The 18,182-nt window shown below is 46.4% G+C and overlaps 2 annotated features.

Annotated features, from left to right (window-relative positions):
• Nucleotides 1,337-2,536: an enhancer, noted in NCBI's record as "CDK7 strongly-dependent group 2 enhancer chr11:44435693-44436892 (GRCh37/hg19 assembly coordinates)". NCBI's record gives its function as "activates an origin of replication core promoter dependent on BRD2, BRD4, P300/CBP, MED14 and CDK7 cofactors, with strong dependence on CDK7, by STARR-seq in HCT116 cells {active_cell/tissue: HCT116}" and the evidence as "EXISTENCE:reporter gene assay evidence [ECO:0000049][PMID:35650434]".
• Nucleotides 6,539-6,788: an enhancer, noted in NCBI's record as "active region_4653". NCBI's record gives its function as "activates an Ori minimal core promoter by ATAC-STARR-seq in GM12878 lymphoblastoid cells {active_cell/tissue: GM12878}" and the evidence as "EXISTENCE:reporter gene assay evidence [ECO:0000049][PMID:35858748]".

Here is an 18,182-nt window from a genome sequence, read left to right as displayed (position 1 = left end):
ATAGACAATTAGAACCTTTTTGAACTTCCCAAGCTGCAACATTAAATGCAGAGTCCCTACCTAGTGGGCCTGAATCAATAAATTCAGCCTGATCCAACTCTATGTTCCTTCCACCATTATCCCATACCCTTAATATCCACTACCATGCCTGTTCTCCAGATTGCTGTTTATATAAATTAGAGAACTCAGACAGTTCTTTTTGAGTGTAGTGCACCTCCTCATGGGTCACATTCTCAACCTCAACTCTAGGGGCCTGCCAGGACTTTAGTCTAGTTACAGGTCTAGAAGCAAACAGAGGTGTTGGGGGTGGCTTCTGAGGAGAATCAACATTTTCTTGCCTGGCAACTGCCTCAGGGGAGGCCATCACTGTTGCCTCGGGCAGTGCAGGGTTTATCTCCTCAGATAAAAGTAAAAAGGCTGATGGCAGCATGGGTCGGGGAGGGGATGTTGTCACTACTGGGGATGGGGAAGCTGTTCCTTCTGGCAAAAAATATTCATCAGAGTTTACAAACTCAGTGTCCCCAGCTTCATCAGGCTCCTCCCACATGTCCCCATTCCAAGTTGCAGGGCCCCATTCTTTTCCAATCAATGCCCTCACTTTAACGGTAGGCACCTGGTGAGGCTGTGCATGCATCTTCCCTTGCAGCTCAGCCACTGCAGGATAAGAGCTTGTGTCTGTTTTTTGTTTTTTGTTTTTTTTTTACAATTTCAGCTCTTTCTCTACAGGAGATAAGACTCTCACTCAGGGCAGTCTTGGCAGATTTGAGGCTCAGTGTCTGCTTTTGAAGCCAGGAGACAGAATCCCTGGGCTCATCATTTTCTTTCATCACTTTGTCCACTGAACCTAGGAGCAACTAACCAGCTTCATTATGTTCCTTGGTTCTCCACATGTGGTCAAAGGTATTATGTATAGAGTCACTAAACGCCTTGCCTCTCATAAGCAGTGAATCAGGAGTGTCAAATGCATTTATTTTGCATAACTCTCTAAACAGTTCACTCTAAGGACAAGGAGTGTTCTCCACAGTGTTAGAAGTAGAGTCCTTAGCATTTGGGTCTGATCATATTAAGCAGCTAATTCCAGAAACCCCAAAACCAACAAAAGAACTCCATCCTTAATATTCTGTTCCTCTAGAACCACTCCTGGTACCAAAATCTGTATTTGTCAGGGTTCTCTTAGGGGGACAGAACTAATAGGACATATATAAACTCCCATATATATATAATATGTTTGCATATATATAGACCCAATCATCATGTTACAAGGTAAAACAACTTCAGTGGTAAAGAAATGCATGAGCAATGCATATATATGCTTGCATATATAAATGAGAGTTTATTAAGTATTAACTTACATTATAGGGAGTTTATTAAGTATTAACTTAGACTATATGTATATATGTGCGTGTATATATACATTTATACATATAAAGGAGAGTTTATTAAGTATTATTAAATATTAACTTACATGATCTTAAGGTCCCACAATAGGCTGTCTGCAAGTTGAGGAGCAAGGAGAGCCAGTTTGAGTCCCCAAACTGAAGAACTTGGAGTCTGATGTTCAAGGGCAGGAAGCATCCAGCATGGGAGAAACATGTAGGCTAGGAGGCTAGGCCATCTCTCCTTTTCATGTTTTTCTGCCTGCTTTTTATTTGCTGGAAACTGATTAAATTGTGCCCATCAGATTAAAGGTGAGTCTGCCTTCCCCAGCCCACTGACTCAAATGTTAATCTCTTTTGACAACACCCACACAGACACACCCAGGATTAATACTATGTGTCCTTCAATCCAATCAAATTGACCCTCAGTATTAATCATCACAAATGCCTTGAAGTTCATCAAAACCACCCTTTTACCCTTAGCCAAAACTCCACCAAGAAGCATCTGAGGAATGATCCTGTGGCACACATACCCAAAGTGACCCCTGCCCACCACCCATGAGCCATGTCCTTTTAGAATTCCTTCCCCTTGAGTGAAGGACACACCTGTGACGTGACTTTCTTCAACCAATAGGATGTTGCAAAGGAAAGGCGATGTCACTTCAATGATTATGTTTCATTATAAAAGACTCCATCTTAGCAGATTCGAGAAGGAGACTCCCTTGCAGGCTTTAAAGAAATAAAGTGTCATGTTGTTGTGGTGGGGATGCATATGGCAAAGAACTGGGTTGGCCTCTAGAAGCTGATAGCAGCTAACTGCTGACAGCCAGCAAGAAAATGGAGACATCAGTCCTACGGCCATAAGAAGATAAATTCTGCTGATAACCTCAGTGAGTTTGGAATGAGTCTTTCCTCAGCCAAGCTTCTGATGAGACTACAGCTCCAGCAACTTCTGGATTGAAGCCCAAGCAGAGGATTTAGCTAGACTGTGCCCAGACTATTGAGCCACAGAAACTGGGAGATAGTTTTGTGTGTGTTGGTTTGAGCCACTACGTTTGTGCTAACTTGTTCTGCAGCAATAGAAAACCAATGCAATCCTACTTTAAAAGATCTCTAAGAAAGGTAACCCCACCCAGTATCTTTTCATCCCCATACCTTCATAATATTCCACTCTGTACACAATTCTGCCAGTATGCATTTCTACCATGAAGCAAGATACCACTGGATTTTTACCTATAACTATCTGTGAAAATAAAAAATTCAGGTTTTACATTGAAGCAACTAGTTTAAGAAAATAGGGATTGATTGAAATTACCCAAGTACAAAGCCTGAAAAATATACATATACAGTTATTCTGGATCTGTAGGGGATTGGTTCCAGATCCCTGCAGATGCCAAAATCCAGAGATGTTCATGCCCTTTATATAAAATGGCATAGTATTTCTATCTACCTTAGGCACATCCTCCTGTATATTTTAAATCATCTCTAGATTACTTTTAATACCTAATACAATGTAAATGCTATGTAAATAGTTGTTACACTGTGTTTTTTATTGGTATTATTTTTATTATATTTTTCTTGCCTTTTTTCCCAAATATTTTCCATCCACTGTTAGTTGAATCTGCAGATGCAGAACCTGTGGATACAGAGGGCCAACAGTATGCATGTCCCGCTATGTATAACTTATATACACACACAAAATTCACATAAGCATTTTAAGTGTTAGGGAAAAAAGATAGTTCTTGAAATAATGAAGACTTGAAGAAAGGTTTCTACGTTACTGTTGCATATACATTTCTCTTAAACCTCTCTGTGCCTTACTTTATTCATTGCCAAAATGGCATCTTTCATTGCTAAAGTGGTCTGGGAGGGCTATGGTAAGAATTAAATAAGATAATAAATGTAAACTGGCACTTAGTGACATTCTTTAAGCGTTGGCTTTATTATTATCTTTTGTAACATGGACTGGGCTGGACTCTGAAACTGTCCTGGTCACCGAGATTGGGGTAACTGATATCCCTTTCTGCCCCAAGAAGACATACACTGGGGCCCTCATCTAGCCTATGGCAATCTGTCTGTGGTTCCTAGGCTTGGATTTGGTTAACTGTAGATTCAAGCCTCTGGCCAAGTCCCTTTTCCAGGCATCAGAAGTGCGGGGAAGGGTTCAACATACCCATTTCTGTCCCATGACCCACTGGGAGCAAGAAGATACCTGTCCTTAGGATGCTGAAAGCTATCAATGAGCCTGGAAACAATCAGAAAACTTTGATTGTAAATAATTAAAATCCAATTTGAATTTATTTAAGCAAAATTCAGGAAGTCCAAAGCACTTCTCAGTAATGAGGAATCAGGAATTCAAATATGTTCATTCTCCCCCTGCCCCATCTGTCTCTCTTCATCCTTTGTTCTGCTCTACTTTGCATTGGCCTCCTTTTCTCCTACTGAAGACCAGCTCCCTCCACTCAGCAGGAGAAAGGAAAGGGCCACAGCCACAAAGAATCCCAAGCTTATATTAGCTCAGCCCTTTGACTTGAGAAGACCTAGTGCGTCTCTTTTGAGCATCCTTGTGTAAAATCCCAGAGAGAACTCTGATAGGCCCTGTTTCCACCATATGATTACTCTTTGGACCAACCCTTGTAGACATGATTGGCTGTGTCTTTATGAGGCAAACACCCTTTGTTATCTACCAAGTATCCATTTCTGCTCTTCTTTACCCATTTCCTATTTTGAAGGCTGAAAAAATCGGAAACTCAACTTTCCCAGCTTTGCTTATAGTTGAGGGTAGCCAGACGGCTCCATTCTGCCAGTGAGTTGTAAGGGGAAGCATGCTGGTATACTCTGGGAAAGTCTCTCTCTGGTAAGAGCCAGGTTAGCAAGAAGAAAAGATGCTTCCATCCCTGCTTTTGAACATATTCATGATGCAAAAGCCACTGCAGCCCTCTTGCCACCATAAGCCAACAAACCTAAAGACAAAACTCCAACACAGTAATACCAGTAGAATAATAAAAATCTGAGTCTTTGATGATATTATTCAGCTGTTTCACCAAATTTCAGAGATCTCTGCTTCCAGATTTTGTTCTTATGGGAGACAATTACATGTCTTTATTGTTTAAGTTAGCTGTGCATTCTGTTACTTGGAAGTGAAAGCATTCTAACAGAGACACAACATCATATGTGAGCCACGGTACAAGGACAGGGGAAGGCTCTGGGATGGATATCTCTGCCAGAAGCACATGGAATAAAGAAGGTGATGTCCTTCAGGGGAACGGGAAAACATGTCACCAGTGAAAGGGAAAATAAAGAGATTATAGGCCAACAAATCAATAGCTGTCCCACTCCTGACACCAGGTCTCAACCTCCAAGGCAACACCTGCCTGTTTCACCTTCTCTTTCCCAAAGAAGCTTCTTGGGGTGCAGGTGACCTACAGTAGAAGAGGGTACCTGGAAAGAAGGGCACAGCTGCATTCTCAGAATATAGTATAGAAAGAAGACAGCATCCCTCCAGATGACCCCTTGTCCCTTACCTCCAACCCATAGGGATAACTGTGACCACAGCTGGGGCCTTCCCTGTTGGAAGCACCTGCAGTATCCACCATGATCACCTGAACAACAACAACTGGAAAAGTGGGAGGCCTGGGATTCAAGTCTTTGCTGTTTCCTAGCTGTGATCCTGGGCAAGTCAGGAGGGCTCAATTTTTCCATCTACAAAATGGGGCTACCCCCATTAAGTGACAGGTTAGGTAGTAGTAAATAAGTAGGTTAAATAATAGGACCTACCTCATAGGGTCATTTTGAGGATTAAATCAAATATTTATAAAGTACTAGATAGGGCTGGCCACTAATCAATGTTCCATAAAGGACAGCTGCTCTTATTATCCATTTCCAAAAGTTTGTCTGGTTCTGACCATCAATGATCTTGAAATTTTAAGTGGAGATCTGAGTGAGCTCCATGGCCATCTTGGGGCTCCCCTTTATAAAGGAGCAGAAGGGCTCTCTCTACCATCTTGAACTGGGGGCCCAACTTATGCAGTTGGGTGATGCTTTGGTCCATGATGTATTTTTCCAGCTGTGAGAGCCACTCTGTTTAATAGCTCCCATCCAGCCATCCAGCCTTCCTCTATGACTGAACTTGAGAGAGTGTGTGTTTGCTTAACACCCACAATATTCCAGCTCCCATAAAACACAGAAAGAGCAAGAAGACTTCCCTGGGAGATCTTGCTCATTCCTGAAACTGAGCTGGACAATGATAATTTTGGTTTTACCAAAAGAACTATACGTTTCTCTCTCTCCATCCAACCAACACCTTTGGAGCCCTCACATTTATGGATGGACTTCCAGGCCCCGCTCCAGGGCAGCTGGGCTTAGCTTCTTGGCTACTCTCTTTGGTCAGTCAGAGCTGCAGTTACAGAAGAACACAGCCCAATCCCAGAGAGAAGCTCCCTGGGCAGCCTCCACTCCCTTCCTCTTTGTCTCCATCCCTCTGGCTCTTCCTCCTTTCCTCTCTTATTCTGCTTCTGCCTGTCCCTCATCTCTCTCTCTCTTTTTCTCTAAGTTGATTGATCACTGTCTCTCAGTGTCTCAGTCTCTCTTTGCCTGCCTTTCTCTGGCTACTTTTGTCTCTTGGCCTGATTTTCTGTTGTTTCATTTCTCTTTCTCTCTCTCTCTGGCTCTGTTTACCTTTCTCCCTCCTTGCCTACCTCACTACCTCTCTGTATGGCTACCTATATCCATCCTTTTCTTTCTGTCTCTCCAGTGCTCTCTCATTTGTCTCTGTCTCCCTCCTTTGCTCTCTCCCAAGCCTGGGTCCACAGCATCTGGCTTGCACATGAGCTCTGTCTTCCTTTGGGAGGCTGCACTCCACTGCCTTTGCAGGCACACTCTTCCCCAATAGCCACATTCAACTGATGATGAGTAAGGACTATAACTCACACTCAAGCCGCTGCGCTATCATCCTCTGTTCTCACCTGCAGTGGAGAGGCACCTCCTGAAAAACTCCCTTCCACGTATTTTCCCTGAAGCCCAAGGGCTGTGCTGCCAGACAATGACGCTAAGTCCATCTACCAGGTCCTCCCTGCCATAATCAGAGAAAACCTACATCAAGGCTCATGTGCCTTGCACCAAAAACTAGATACAGTAAGTTCAACCTTTCCATTTTACAGATGAGGAAACAGAATGCAGAGAGGTGGCCCATCATGACCCAGGTCACACAGCGGAGTGGTGTCAGCCGTGTGACTTGGAGAAGTGACAGTGTAGTAGAACCTCTATTTCCTCATCTGTAAAAAGGGAATCGCTATTGGGAAGATGAAGTGAAACATGCCCTTGCCCAGCACAGACCGTGGTGCAGAGAAAGCACTTGGTAAGTATGAGCTATTATTATCACTGTGATTATGATTTTACACATGTTAGCCATAGTGGAGCAAAAAAGATTCTGGTCCTTTCCAAGGCAGGCTTTTTGCAGACCAGAGCCCCCTTCTTCACCTGACCTGGCAGAGAAGTTTCCAGTGAGTCATCACCACCCTCTGCCTTCAACTCACACCCCAGACACCTCAGATCTCCCCCACCCCGCCTTCCTGTGTCTGTCGCCTCTCACGGACCAAAGGCCAGTTCAAAGGGTTTCCCCAACCTTCCCACTGTAGACACAATAGTCCATTCTCCCTGGACCCTGAGCCAACAGAAGAAAGCACAGGCAGGAGATCAAACATGGGCTGAATGGAAGACAGAGGAGACAGAGAACGGGGGGCGAGATGGGGCAGCAAAAATAATGACTTCCATCCAAGGCTCTTCCCAAAAACCCACAGCTCTTTGAAGCTGGCTTTCCTTTTATAAAATGCACTGTTATTAATGACCCAAGTGGAAGCTTTCTGGGCAGGACAATACCCAACTCCCTGGTGGCCTCTGTGGGACCTTGTGCATGGGAAAGCATCCGGTGGCCAGCGGATGTCTCCAACACGCCAAGTGCCTATGGGTGCCACAAAGGGGTTTGGGAGCAGGGTCATGTCCACATGAAGACCCATGGGTACCCCGAGTATTTGGGGCTGCTACTGTCCTCTCAGGCCAAAGCTGGGGACAGTAAGGTCTGTGCTGCTGCAGTCCAGCCAATTCATTTATTCAACAAATATTTCTTGAGCACCTACTATGTGCCAGGCTGTGCATGGGTCTAAGGGGCAAATCAAGCACAATTTCTGCCCTTGTGAAGCTTGCAGTCAGAACAGAAAAGATCCTTTATCAGAGGGCAAGAGCCAAGGCTTTGAGAGGTATGAAGTCCCAAGTTCTAGACATTTATCTTACACTTAGCAGTCCCCCAGGAAGCTCCACAAGTTTTCCCGGCCACCTCACTGTGACCGCACTCTTCTTCACTTACCTCCTTTGAGTTGCAGTTCAAAATCAGGTCACCAGGTTACTTGTTGTGACTAAGGCAGACCTTTGGCCACATTCCCTCTGCCCACTCCTTCCCACCCCCAACTAAAGAAGTGTTCAAATCACTGCCTCTCTGCCATCCCTTCAGCCAGCTGATCTGGAGAAATGACTCCTCCACATGGTCAAAGAATGTCATTTTGGAAAAGAAATAACTTCATGAGTGCTAAACCCAGAAAGGAGTTTTGAACTAGTACTCATTCAACGTAACAAATCAGAAGATAGAAGCCCAAAATTACACAGAGCCCAACTGGGGAAACTTTTCTGGTGTCATGGAGGTGCTCAGCACCAAGGGCACAGACACAGTGTCACGTGGAATGCATGCCTCCCTCCAGCGTCTACCTATGCTGTGGGGAAGGCATAGGTGTGAGGAAGTGGCAGGTGCCATCAGGTGGGGGACCCGACAGTCACACTTGCTCAGTACAAAAGAAGACCCAGGGCATGAGGATTGTTTGTGCCTGATTATAGATGAGAAAATGGGCATTCAGAGAGCTCAGATATCTTGACAAGATCTCACAGCTGGTGAATGGCAGACCTGGGATACAGCTGTGCAGGGCCCGGAGCTCTGGAGGGAGGAGGATGAGAAGGGCCTGGCTACCTCTTCCTGGGAATGTGGGCAGGTCCCTGGACCTCTCTCGGTGTCCATTTCTTCATCTATAAAATAAGAGCATTAAACAATCAGAGATCTGTAGAAAGACTCCAGGGGTTTGAGATCCCTCGAAATCACAGCAAAAGCTTTGAGTGTGTGTTGGTAAGAGTGAGTTTCTGGAGAAAATGACTAAACCTTTATCAGATTCTCCTAAAAGTGCCTGCCCAAGAGAGGTTAAGAACATCGAACTGATCGTCTCCACATGCCCCTCCCACTCTGCTGTTCCATGATCTTGAGCCCAAGGGTCTTTTCATTCATTCATTCATTCATTCACTCAAACATTGATCAACCCGCTACTTTGTATCAGGCCCATAGGGGCCCTTCTAGTTCCCAAATCCCCAGGATGGGCCTAGAAATAGAAAGAGAACAGGAAGGTGAGGCCCTGTAGGCTTCTTCTGGTGAGGGACTTCCCCATCATGAGGCCCACACCAAGTCCCATGTCAATCACTTCTTCCAGGGCCTTCCCCTAAAGGTCTGTATCTGCAGGGAAACCCTCTCATCAGCCCCCTGCTCTGCTCCCTCATTCCTACTTCTGCAATGTGCTTTCTGCAGGAGAGCCACAGGGCAGAGAGAAAGGAGCTGGTGTCTGTCCCTGACCTGCCTGGTCACAAGCTGTCTTTGGAAATAATTAGTAACAGGCCAGAGACCCCTGTTCCCATGAGGAACCCATCCTGGCGGGGCTAGGACTGGGAGATGGGGGAAGGGCACTGTGGAGACAAAACAAAGAGATGAAATAAGAAGGCAGAGGATGGAGCAATGAGGCCCCAGAAGGCCCTGACCGAGGCCTTGATGTCCTAGAGGAGGGTTGAGGCTACAAGCTGTGGTCAAGGGACAGACGCCAGCCTGGTTCCGCCAGCTTCGGTGAGAGCCAGCAGCTGCCAGCTAACTTTCCATGACATCAGAGCTCAGCTTGGGCCAAGCCTGCAGGACAGGGAGATAGCTTGGCACCCCCACCTTCCCCAGTAGAGTGGGGACCCCTGTGCTATGGTGGGATGGTCCAGGGGCCCTGTCCTCGTGAAAAGCTGTTAGGAGCACAAAGAGCAGCCACTCGCTGCCCCCCAAATGGGGCAAACAAGCCAAACCTCCAGTGAAGGAGGGAGGGCGGGGTAAAGGATGCTACATTCATCCATCCAATGGAGCGCTGTGAGTTGAGGCCATTTATAGTGATGTCTACAAGCCTTTTTCAGAGAAGCTATGTTCCAATGCTAAATGAAAGAAGAGCAGAGCCCAGGGGATGGACATGTGTGATCGCATTTGAGACACATTTGCCTATAATAAATATTCAGTTTGCATGTGAATTGTATTTTTTAAAATCCTCAAGGAAACTGACAAGGCCCTGCATTTGCTGCTGGATCAGCCTTCCAGCCCCACCTCGCACTGCTGGTCTCCTTACTCAGCTCCATCCAGCCCTGAAAGCCAGCTGTCAGCACCTTGAACATACCCAAACCTCATCCTTGCCCAGCCGTCCGTCTTCTGTGCTGAACTGCAGCTTTCTGAGTGCCCTGTTCTTTTCGTTCATAACAAAACACAGCTCATGATTATAAATTCATTAGCATCGTATTTGGATAGTGTTTGCCTCACCCCTACCCTCACCCCAAAAGGCTGTAAGCTCCCCAGGGGAGGTAACATGCTTGTTTTTTTTGCCTTTACATACCCAGCTCCTTAACCACTGCTTGGCACACAGTAAGTACTCCATAAGTGTTTGCTGAATGATTTAATGGATTGGCCATTGCAGTAGCTGACATTTATTCAGTACTGAACGCTTTATGTGCATAAACTCATTACATTCTCAAGACCATTCTAAGAGGCGGGCACTACTTATGGGCTAATGCCCCATTTTGCAGATTGGAAAACAGAGGGCTTAAACTCACATTAGGTCAGGCAGCTAGCAAGAGGCAGACTCAGGATTTGAACTCACAGTTGTCAGGCTATAAAGCCCATATTCTTAACCTCTGTATTCTCCAGCCTCTCCTAAATGAGCAAGCGAGGAGGAAAAATCAGAAGGAAATACTGTGGCATGGAAGCAGAAGAATCTGGGTGATGGGAGGAGGCTTACTGATTTTATCGCTTTCTTTAGCTTTTCCAGTTTTTCTACGTTGCATGTATAGAAAATTAATCAGAGAAAACAGTACAATAGTAAGTATATTTTTTTGTAAAAGGTCAGCAAACAGCCCTAATGGAGCCCTGCAAATTCTCCCAGAAACCCCTCCAGTCCCCCAGTCATGAGAAGCCAGTGGTCAAACTCACACTATCAGCAGGGCTGCCCAAGAGAAAACCCATCATCAGCAATGTTCCCACTGGAAAGGAGGGATCCCTGGACCACCTGCAGGGCATACATGCTACCCCCTGATTATCCTATTCCCCATGTTTCTCAAACGGAGAGAGAGGAGGCAGGCAAGGAGATAACTGCTCTTCCTGCTCACCTCCTGTCTCTCACTAGCTCCTCCTCCAGCCTTGTTTCATGCCTTTGTGGCCTCCCAGACTTGGGACAAACAGCGCAGCCCACCTCAAAGATCTTGCACATGATTCCATTTTGCTTTATGCATCCCAAATGATGTGCATTTCGCTGGCAGGGTTTGCAGCAAATTATTGCTGGTGAAAACAGGAGGCTGGGGTTTTGGAAACCAGATGAAGCTTTTACTTTTACTGGCTGTGGGGCCAGGGTGATTCCCAATAAGAAGCATCCTGTACGGACAAGCCCTAACAACTCATTCATTCATGTAACAGACATGTGTTGAACATCTAATGGGTCCCAAGAATCATGCCCAGCTTGGGAATGGGGATGGGCAAGAGTGACGTGGTCACAGCCCTCATGGAGCTGACACTGTGGCCAGAGAGAAAAGACAAAGCACTAAACAGAATATGGGGAGAGGGTGGTGGAGGAAGGCTTCTCTGGGATCCAAGAGCAGAAGGAGATGGCCGAGTGGGGAGCTGCAAGGGAGCAGCATCCCGTCTGGGAGACAGCTTTGCTCAAGGTCCTGAGGGAGAAAAGACACCAGTGTACTCAAAGAACTGAGAGAAACGAAGCCCACTTAGACCTTTCCGTTGGCAAGCATCCAGAAGTCTGACCACACCAAATAGGGGAGAGGACATAGACTCTCTCGTACTGCCAGTAGACTTGTAAATTGGTAGAACTGCTCTAAAAGAGTTTGGCATTATCTCCTAAAGTTGAATATTTAAACCTATGACCTAGAATATTCGAATACTGGATATATCCCCAAGCTAAGCTCTTGAAACTGTAGGACAGGGCCCATGGATGAGCGGTTTTATAGCAGCACTGGTCATGAGAGCAGAAACCCACAAACAACTGAAATGCTCATCAATGGATGAATCAACGTGGTAAATTAAGAGTGGGATATTACACAGTGGTCAAACTGAGCGAACCACGGCAACACACAGCAGTGTGGATGATCTTAACAATATAATAGTAAGTGGAAAACAAGTTCCCAAAGATTGCACTGGAGTATTCTAATCATGTTTTATAAAGATTAAAACTATATAGGGCTAATTCTGTGATCACAAAACTGTGTGAACAGGGGCATGGCCCTCAGTTTCTCAGCTGGGAAATGGAGATAATTGTTCCAGCACTGCCTTGCTACGAAGTAACCACACATTAGATTCTCCTTAAAAGAGCTCCATTCGCCCAGTCCATGGGATGAGCCAGGGTTCTCTCTGCTCCTGCAAAACATCGAGTGACATGGTGGGACGCTGGAGGTGAACAGCTGTGACTAACTCGCCTGTGAACTTCTGCCCCATCATTGAGTTACAGCCTTACCAGGAGGCACTGGAGTGGTTACCACACCTGTTTATATCCATTATACTTGGTAATTGTGAACTTGAACTCGGTATTAAGAAAATCAGAAATGCAAGGATGAAATGAAAGAAAGTTAATGTTTCTATGAATGCTCAATTGAATGTTTTGGAAAGACTTTAAAAAAAGGATGGGGGTAGGGTTGGTAAAAACCCAGGATCCTGCCCTCAGATTCCTTTTAAGTGTCTGTAAATTCTCCTTGCACTTTAAAGAAATGGAAACACTGCACCATGGGAATGCTTTATGCAAGAAAGATGAGGAGGACGCCAATACACAAGCCTAAATGCCAAGAAAAGCTCTTGCCCCGCATCCACGTGGGCACCCCTTTATGTTTTTAGTTAAGATAAAATGTGTATGCTTTTAGGACTTCCCCCTTTGACCAGCTGCTTCAGTTTCCTAAGAGATTCTAGACAGATGGTATTGGGTGAGGCTTCTTTCTAGAAAGACTCCTATATACTAAGCCCCTTCTGTGTGTCAGACAATAGCTCTTTTATATTCGGTGTTTACAATTCTTCCACTTAGTTACTATTCATCCCATTTTATAGATGAAGGAATCGAGGCTTAGCATTTATGGTGAAAGTCCTGATGTGGATGACAGTGGTGGTGACATGTTGCCTCTATATCCCCAAGTGTAATGGACAGAGCTCAGCACTAGGGAACAAGACACCTGTACTATAGTTCCTGCTGTGCTCCTCAATTGCTGTGTGACCTTAGGCAGCTTACTTACCCTCTCTGGCCTTAGTTGTTTTCTATGAAAATGGAGGGTTTGTACTTGTATCTATCTACTGCTCTGTAACAAGTTACCCCAGAACATAGCGGCTTGAGACAGCCACACTTATCTCACAGATTCTGTGGATCAGGAATCTGGTCATGGCTTAGATGGGTTTTCACAGGCTGTGGTCAAGGTGCCATCTAAGGCTGCAGCCGTCTCAGGGCTTGACTGGGGAGAGCACTACGTCCCAGGTGGCTATATACAGGATTCAGTTTCCTCCCTGGCTGGTCTATTGGGAATACCACACCCTTGGTCTGGCTGGTCTATTGGCCAGAGACCACACTATAGACATGGACTTCTCCACAGGGCAGTTTCCAATATGACAGCTGGCTTCCTTGCCGTGAGCAGAGGAGAGAGAGCAAGAGAGTGCTTGAAAGACAGAAGTCCCGGTCTTTGGTAACTTCATCTTGGAAGTGACATCCCATCACTTGTGCATATTTTATTCATTAGAAGTTAAGTCACTAGGCCAAGTTCATACTCAAGGAGAGAGATTTACACGCAGGTGTGAATATCAGGAGTGGGGATGGCTGGGAGCCATTGTAGGAACTGCTGACCACAGTACTTGATCTCTAAGGTGCCTCCCAAAATCTTGGATTCTTTGAAAGTCCCCAAAAGATCTGGTTAGACTGACTTAGGATCCAGGGAAAGGTCTGGAAGGAAATGAGTGGAGATGTGCATCCCAGGAATGCCTCTTCCCTGACTCTGTCATATTCTGGGAGCCCCTTGCCTCTCTGCTGCTTCCCTCACCCCAGCCCCCACCATCGTTCCTGTCTCTCTGTGCTGGAGGAGGCCAAGTAGATGGGGGTGGGGAGGCGGCTGCTGCTGTCCTGTAAGTGTCAGAAAATAGAAGGTCTCTTTAGGGAATTATTTTGCAGGAGGAAAGAAAAAAAAACACAAGACAGTTCATTCAAAGGTCAAAAATGAGAAAGCAAAAAAAGAAGAAAGAAGCCACCTAAAAACTTGGCGGCAAAGATGGCCCAGTCAAGACGCTGCAGGGGGCCGGGCGCCGTGGCTCACGTCTGTAATCACAGCAATTTGGGAGGCCGAAGCAGGCAGATCACCTGAGGTCAGAAGTTGCAGACTAGCCTGGCCAACATGGCGAAACCCTGTCTCTACTAAAAATACAAAATTTAGCCAGGCATGGTGGAGGTTGAGGCAGGAGAATCGCTTGAACCCGGGAGGCAGAGGTTGCAGTGAGCCAAGATCGCGCCATTACACTCCAGCCTGGGCAACACAGTAAGACTCTGCCAAAAAAAAAAAAAAAAAAAAAAAGATACTGCAGAGAAAGGCAGACCCCCAAAAGCCAAACCCTTAGTGGCTCAGTCACCCATCACCTGTGGCCCCTCCCTTCTAGCCCCGTGCAGTGCACACCCACTACAACCTGCAAAGAGATGGCTAATGTATGGGGGACAGATGGGGCCTCAGGGACTGGCTGGCTGCTATTTTCTCTGAGTGACTCTCAGCTCTTCCGGGAGCCATGTCGATATGCCCATTTAAAGGAAAGAGCAAGTTGAGGTCTGACACTATTAAGGTAAACTTGCAGACAGTCACTGGCCTGGACCAGTGAAAATGTTCTGCAGCAACCAAGGATGCATATGTGTTTCAATGTCTTCTTGTATGGGAGAAAATGAGTCAAAGTCCATTGAAAGTTAATATTTCTATTTATTTATATGCCGTGCAATTCACCAAAAGTTTTAAGGTGACTGTTTTCTGGGAAGTCCTTGGTTCAGGTAAGGCTGAGTAGTGAGGACCGGAACTTGAATCTTGTAAGTACTAAGCGATACCCACCCAATCTTACCTGCACTTCCCATCCCACCACTACTTCCGGTGCTACTGTGTCACTAGCACATTTCAGAGCTACCCAGCTGGCCTGGGCCAATCCAGCACTCCCGGCACAAGTCCAGACTGGCAGAAGTAACCCGTGCAGGGCAGTTCCAGGCCCTTTTTGGCTGTATGGCTTGGTCAAGTGGGATCAGCAATGTTCCTGGGAAATCCCACACTGCACCAAGAAGGCACACGCAAGGTAATGAAGGCCTGAAGAAGACTTGGCTATATGCATCCTTAGGGGCCAGGTTCAGGTTCAGCCCTTTAAACTTGGCCTAAAACAGTTTCCCCATCTATCCACTAATGTAAGGGTGTTCATAAGAGTGACGGGAGCATGTCAGCTCCTAAGGGCCAGAACTTTGCCTATCTTCTTCACCTTTGTATCCTGGCATATAGTAGGCTCTAATAAATATTTGTCGAATGACTGAAATAAGGGTTTCATAGTCCAAAAAGTTTAGGAAATGTGTTAAAGCAAGATAAACGGATTTCTTGGCCGGGCGCAGTGGCTCACGCCTGTAATCCCAGCACTTTGGGAGGCCAAGGCAGGCAGATCGCTTGAGGTCAGGAGTTTGAGACTAGCCCGACCAACATGGAGAAACCTCGTCTCTACTAAAAATAAAAAATAAAAAATAAAAAAATTAGCCAGGTGTGGTGGCACATGCCTGTAATCCCAGCTACTCGGGAGGCTGAGGCAGGAGAATCGCTTGAATCCAGGAAGCAGAGGTTGCGGTGAGCCTAGATCACGCCATTGCACTCCAGCCTGGGCAACAAGAGCGAAACTCCGTCTCAAAAAAAAATACACGTTTCTTTTGTTCAGGCCTTCGGAGAACCTTCAATATGCCAATGTGTACTCTGACACTCCAAGAGGAGAGTAGGGCATTCGGGGTTTTCCAGATTCATTGGGCTATGGACTCCTTTCTATAGAGAATCTTGTAGAATGTGGGTCTAGAGTCATGATTGTCAAACCTATCCATGTTTCCCTCTTTATCTTCATCTGAGTCCCTCTTGAGAGAAAAAAGTAAGCCACATGGGTCGGTTGCTTCAGTTTCTCCCCAAGTGATCCCCACGATTTTGACCTTTCTCTTGGGGCTTACATTCTACCAAATCGGCAATCTCAGAGGAAAGAGGACTGGATCAATCCTGCAGAAGTCCCAGCCAAGGCTATCATTGGCCCAGCCTGAATCACATGACCATTCCTGAGCCAGTCACCTGACTACAGAGTGTCATGTTCTGATTGGGCAAGCCTGATCACATGCCCTGTCTTGAAACCAAGACAAAGTCTGGTCCATCTGAACTTCAAGGGCCAATGGCGCCCTGAAGAAAAATCTCAATTCTGTTACCAGAAAGAAAGCACAGGACAGAAGTCATGCAGGGGACAGAAGTCATGCATGACAGCAAACGAGGAAGATATCTAAACTTCTATATGGGGTGCTGGCTATACAGCATATGGTCCAGTTGGCCTGGGTTAAAGTTCTGGGGTGACAGCTAAAGTCTCCCAGCCCTAATCCTCCCTCCTCCCCCAAAGGAGGACTATGTATGGAGAATGAGAATGACAGTTAGGCTTGATCTGGAGCAAAGATGAAGGAAGAATGAAAGTGACACATCATCTCATTTAACCCTCATATCAGCCTTGAGAATTGAGTACTGCTATTCCCATTTTACAGATGAGGAAGCTGAGGTTAAAAAAGATGAAGTCACTTGCTGAAGATGACAGAACTAGCAAGGAGCATAAAAGGATGGGTGGGGCGTGTGTTTTGCAGCAAATAAAAACTTTTCTTTTAGAGGTTGTACCTTGGGATCTGCAGCTTCTGAAACCGAAAGCCCTTACTGAACTGTCCCAAGAGCTATGCCAGGGAGAAGAGAGGCAGGTTAAAGAGAGGCTGGACCTGAGCCAAAGGACTGCCCTGGATTTCGAGAGACCCCAATTTACTCCACAGTGTTACTGCAATGAATTGTAACTCAATCAGCCACCAGCAGAACAAGGAAGTGGGATCTCTGCCTCTTTCCCACCAAGAAATCCTTCCTCTACACTGCATGGGGTGGAGTGCAACAGAGACAAGAAGGACCTGGGACTCTTCAGGGCAAATGACCAAGGATAAGCAGGACAGGGGAGATGAGTGCTGACCATGCAGACAGCTGTGGGTTCGAGTCTCAACTCTGCACTTACAATGTGGCCTTGAGACTCTTCCTCAGCATCTCCATGCCTCAGTTTCCTCATTTCTAAAATGAGAAGAGTAATAGTATGTATTTCATAGAGTCCTTAAAGGATTAAATATAATCCTGAAAGTAATGTGCTTCACACATTAAAAAAAAAAACTTTTTTTCTTTGGAGAGATGGTGTCTCGTTCTGTCGCCCAGGCTGGAGTACAGTGGCACAATCCTAGCTCACAAACGCCTCAAATTCCTGGGCCCAAAAGATCCAACTACAGACACGTACCAACACACCCAGCTAATTTTTAATTTAATTTAATTTAATTTTTTTTGAAGAGAGAGAGAGTCTTGCTCTGTTGCCCAGACTGGTCTCGAAGTCCTGGGCTCAAGCCACCCTCCTGCCTCGGCCTCTCAGAGCTCTGGGATTACAGGCATGACCCAGCACACCTGGTTCATATTTTCATTTTCCCCCTGAAACACCTGAAAATAAATGGAGACTCTTTAAGAAAGTCTATAACCTTCCATGGTCTTCTGCCAGGAAAACTACTTTGGGACAGCTTCCTCAGTGGGTCTCATGACCCAAAAGCCTCCTGCCCTATGGGCCAGGTGGGCAGAAAGGATGGACCCCTCCCCCCATTCAGTGGCTTCACATATGAGTTCCCAGAGGTTTGCAATCAGGCCCTTGTCATGGGCCATGCCTCAGTGTCCTGCTAGTCAATATTGGCCAAGAAGGTAAGGAGGGAAGGGGTCCGCAGGGATGCCGAGCCCCACAAGGGCTCTCCCGACACTGTTTGCTTTCTGCCCCATCCTGCTCCAGTTCCCACAGGCAATGAGAGGGCAGCTAGCCTGGAAAGCTGAGTCAGGGCACACCATGTTTCAGTGGCTGGCTCTGCAGAGATGCTCTGGGGAGACACACTCTGTTACTCTTTAGCAGCTCAGAGCAGAGTCTTCCTGCAGGGCTCTGCTTTCCTGCCACTCAGCCTAACACCCAGGAAGCTTCTGGCAAGGCTGGGTGGGTGGGTGCAGGAAAGGGTCCCTGAGGTGTCACCTCGGCCCCCCACCAGGGCCGGGCACCACAGAAAGACAGCAGCTCCTCCTCCTGCTCCTTCTGCAGAGAAGGGAGCCCAGTTCCCCCCTGCTGCTCCCGGCCAGCTTGCCTTCGTGTGGTAAACGCTTGAGCAACTT

Source organism: Homo sapiens, chromosome 11, assembly GCF_000001405.40.
Source record: "Homo sapiens chromosome 11, GRCh38.p14 Primary Assembly".
NCBI classification, from domain to species: domain Eukaryota; kingdom Metazoa; phylum Chordata; class Mammalia; order Primates; family Hominidae; genus Homo; species Homo sapiens.
The sequence above is the reverse complement of the archived record's forward strand: the minus strand, read 5'-3'. Positions and strand labels throughout refer to the sequence as shown.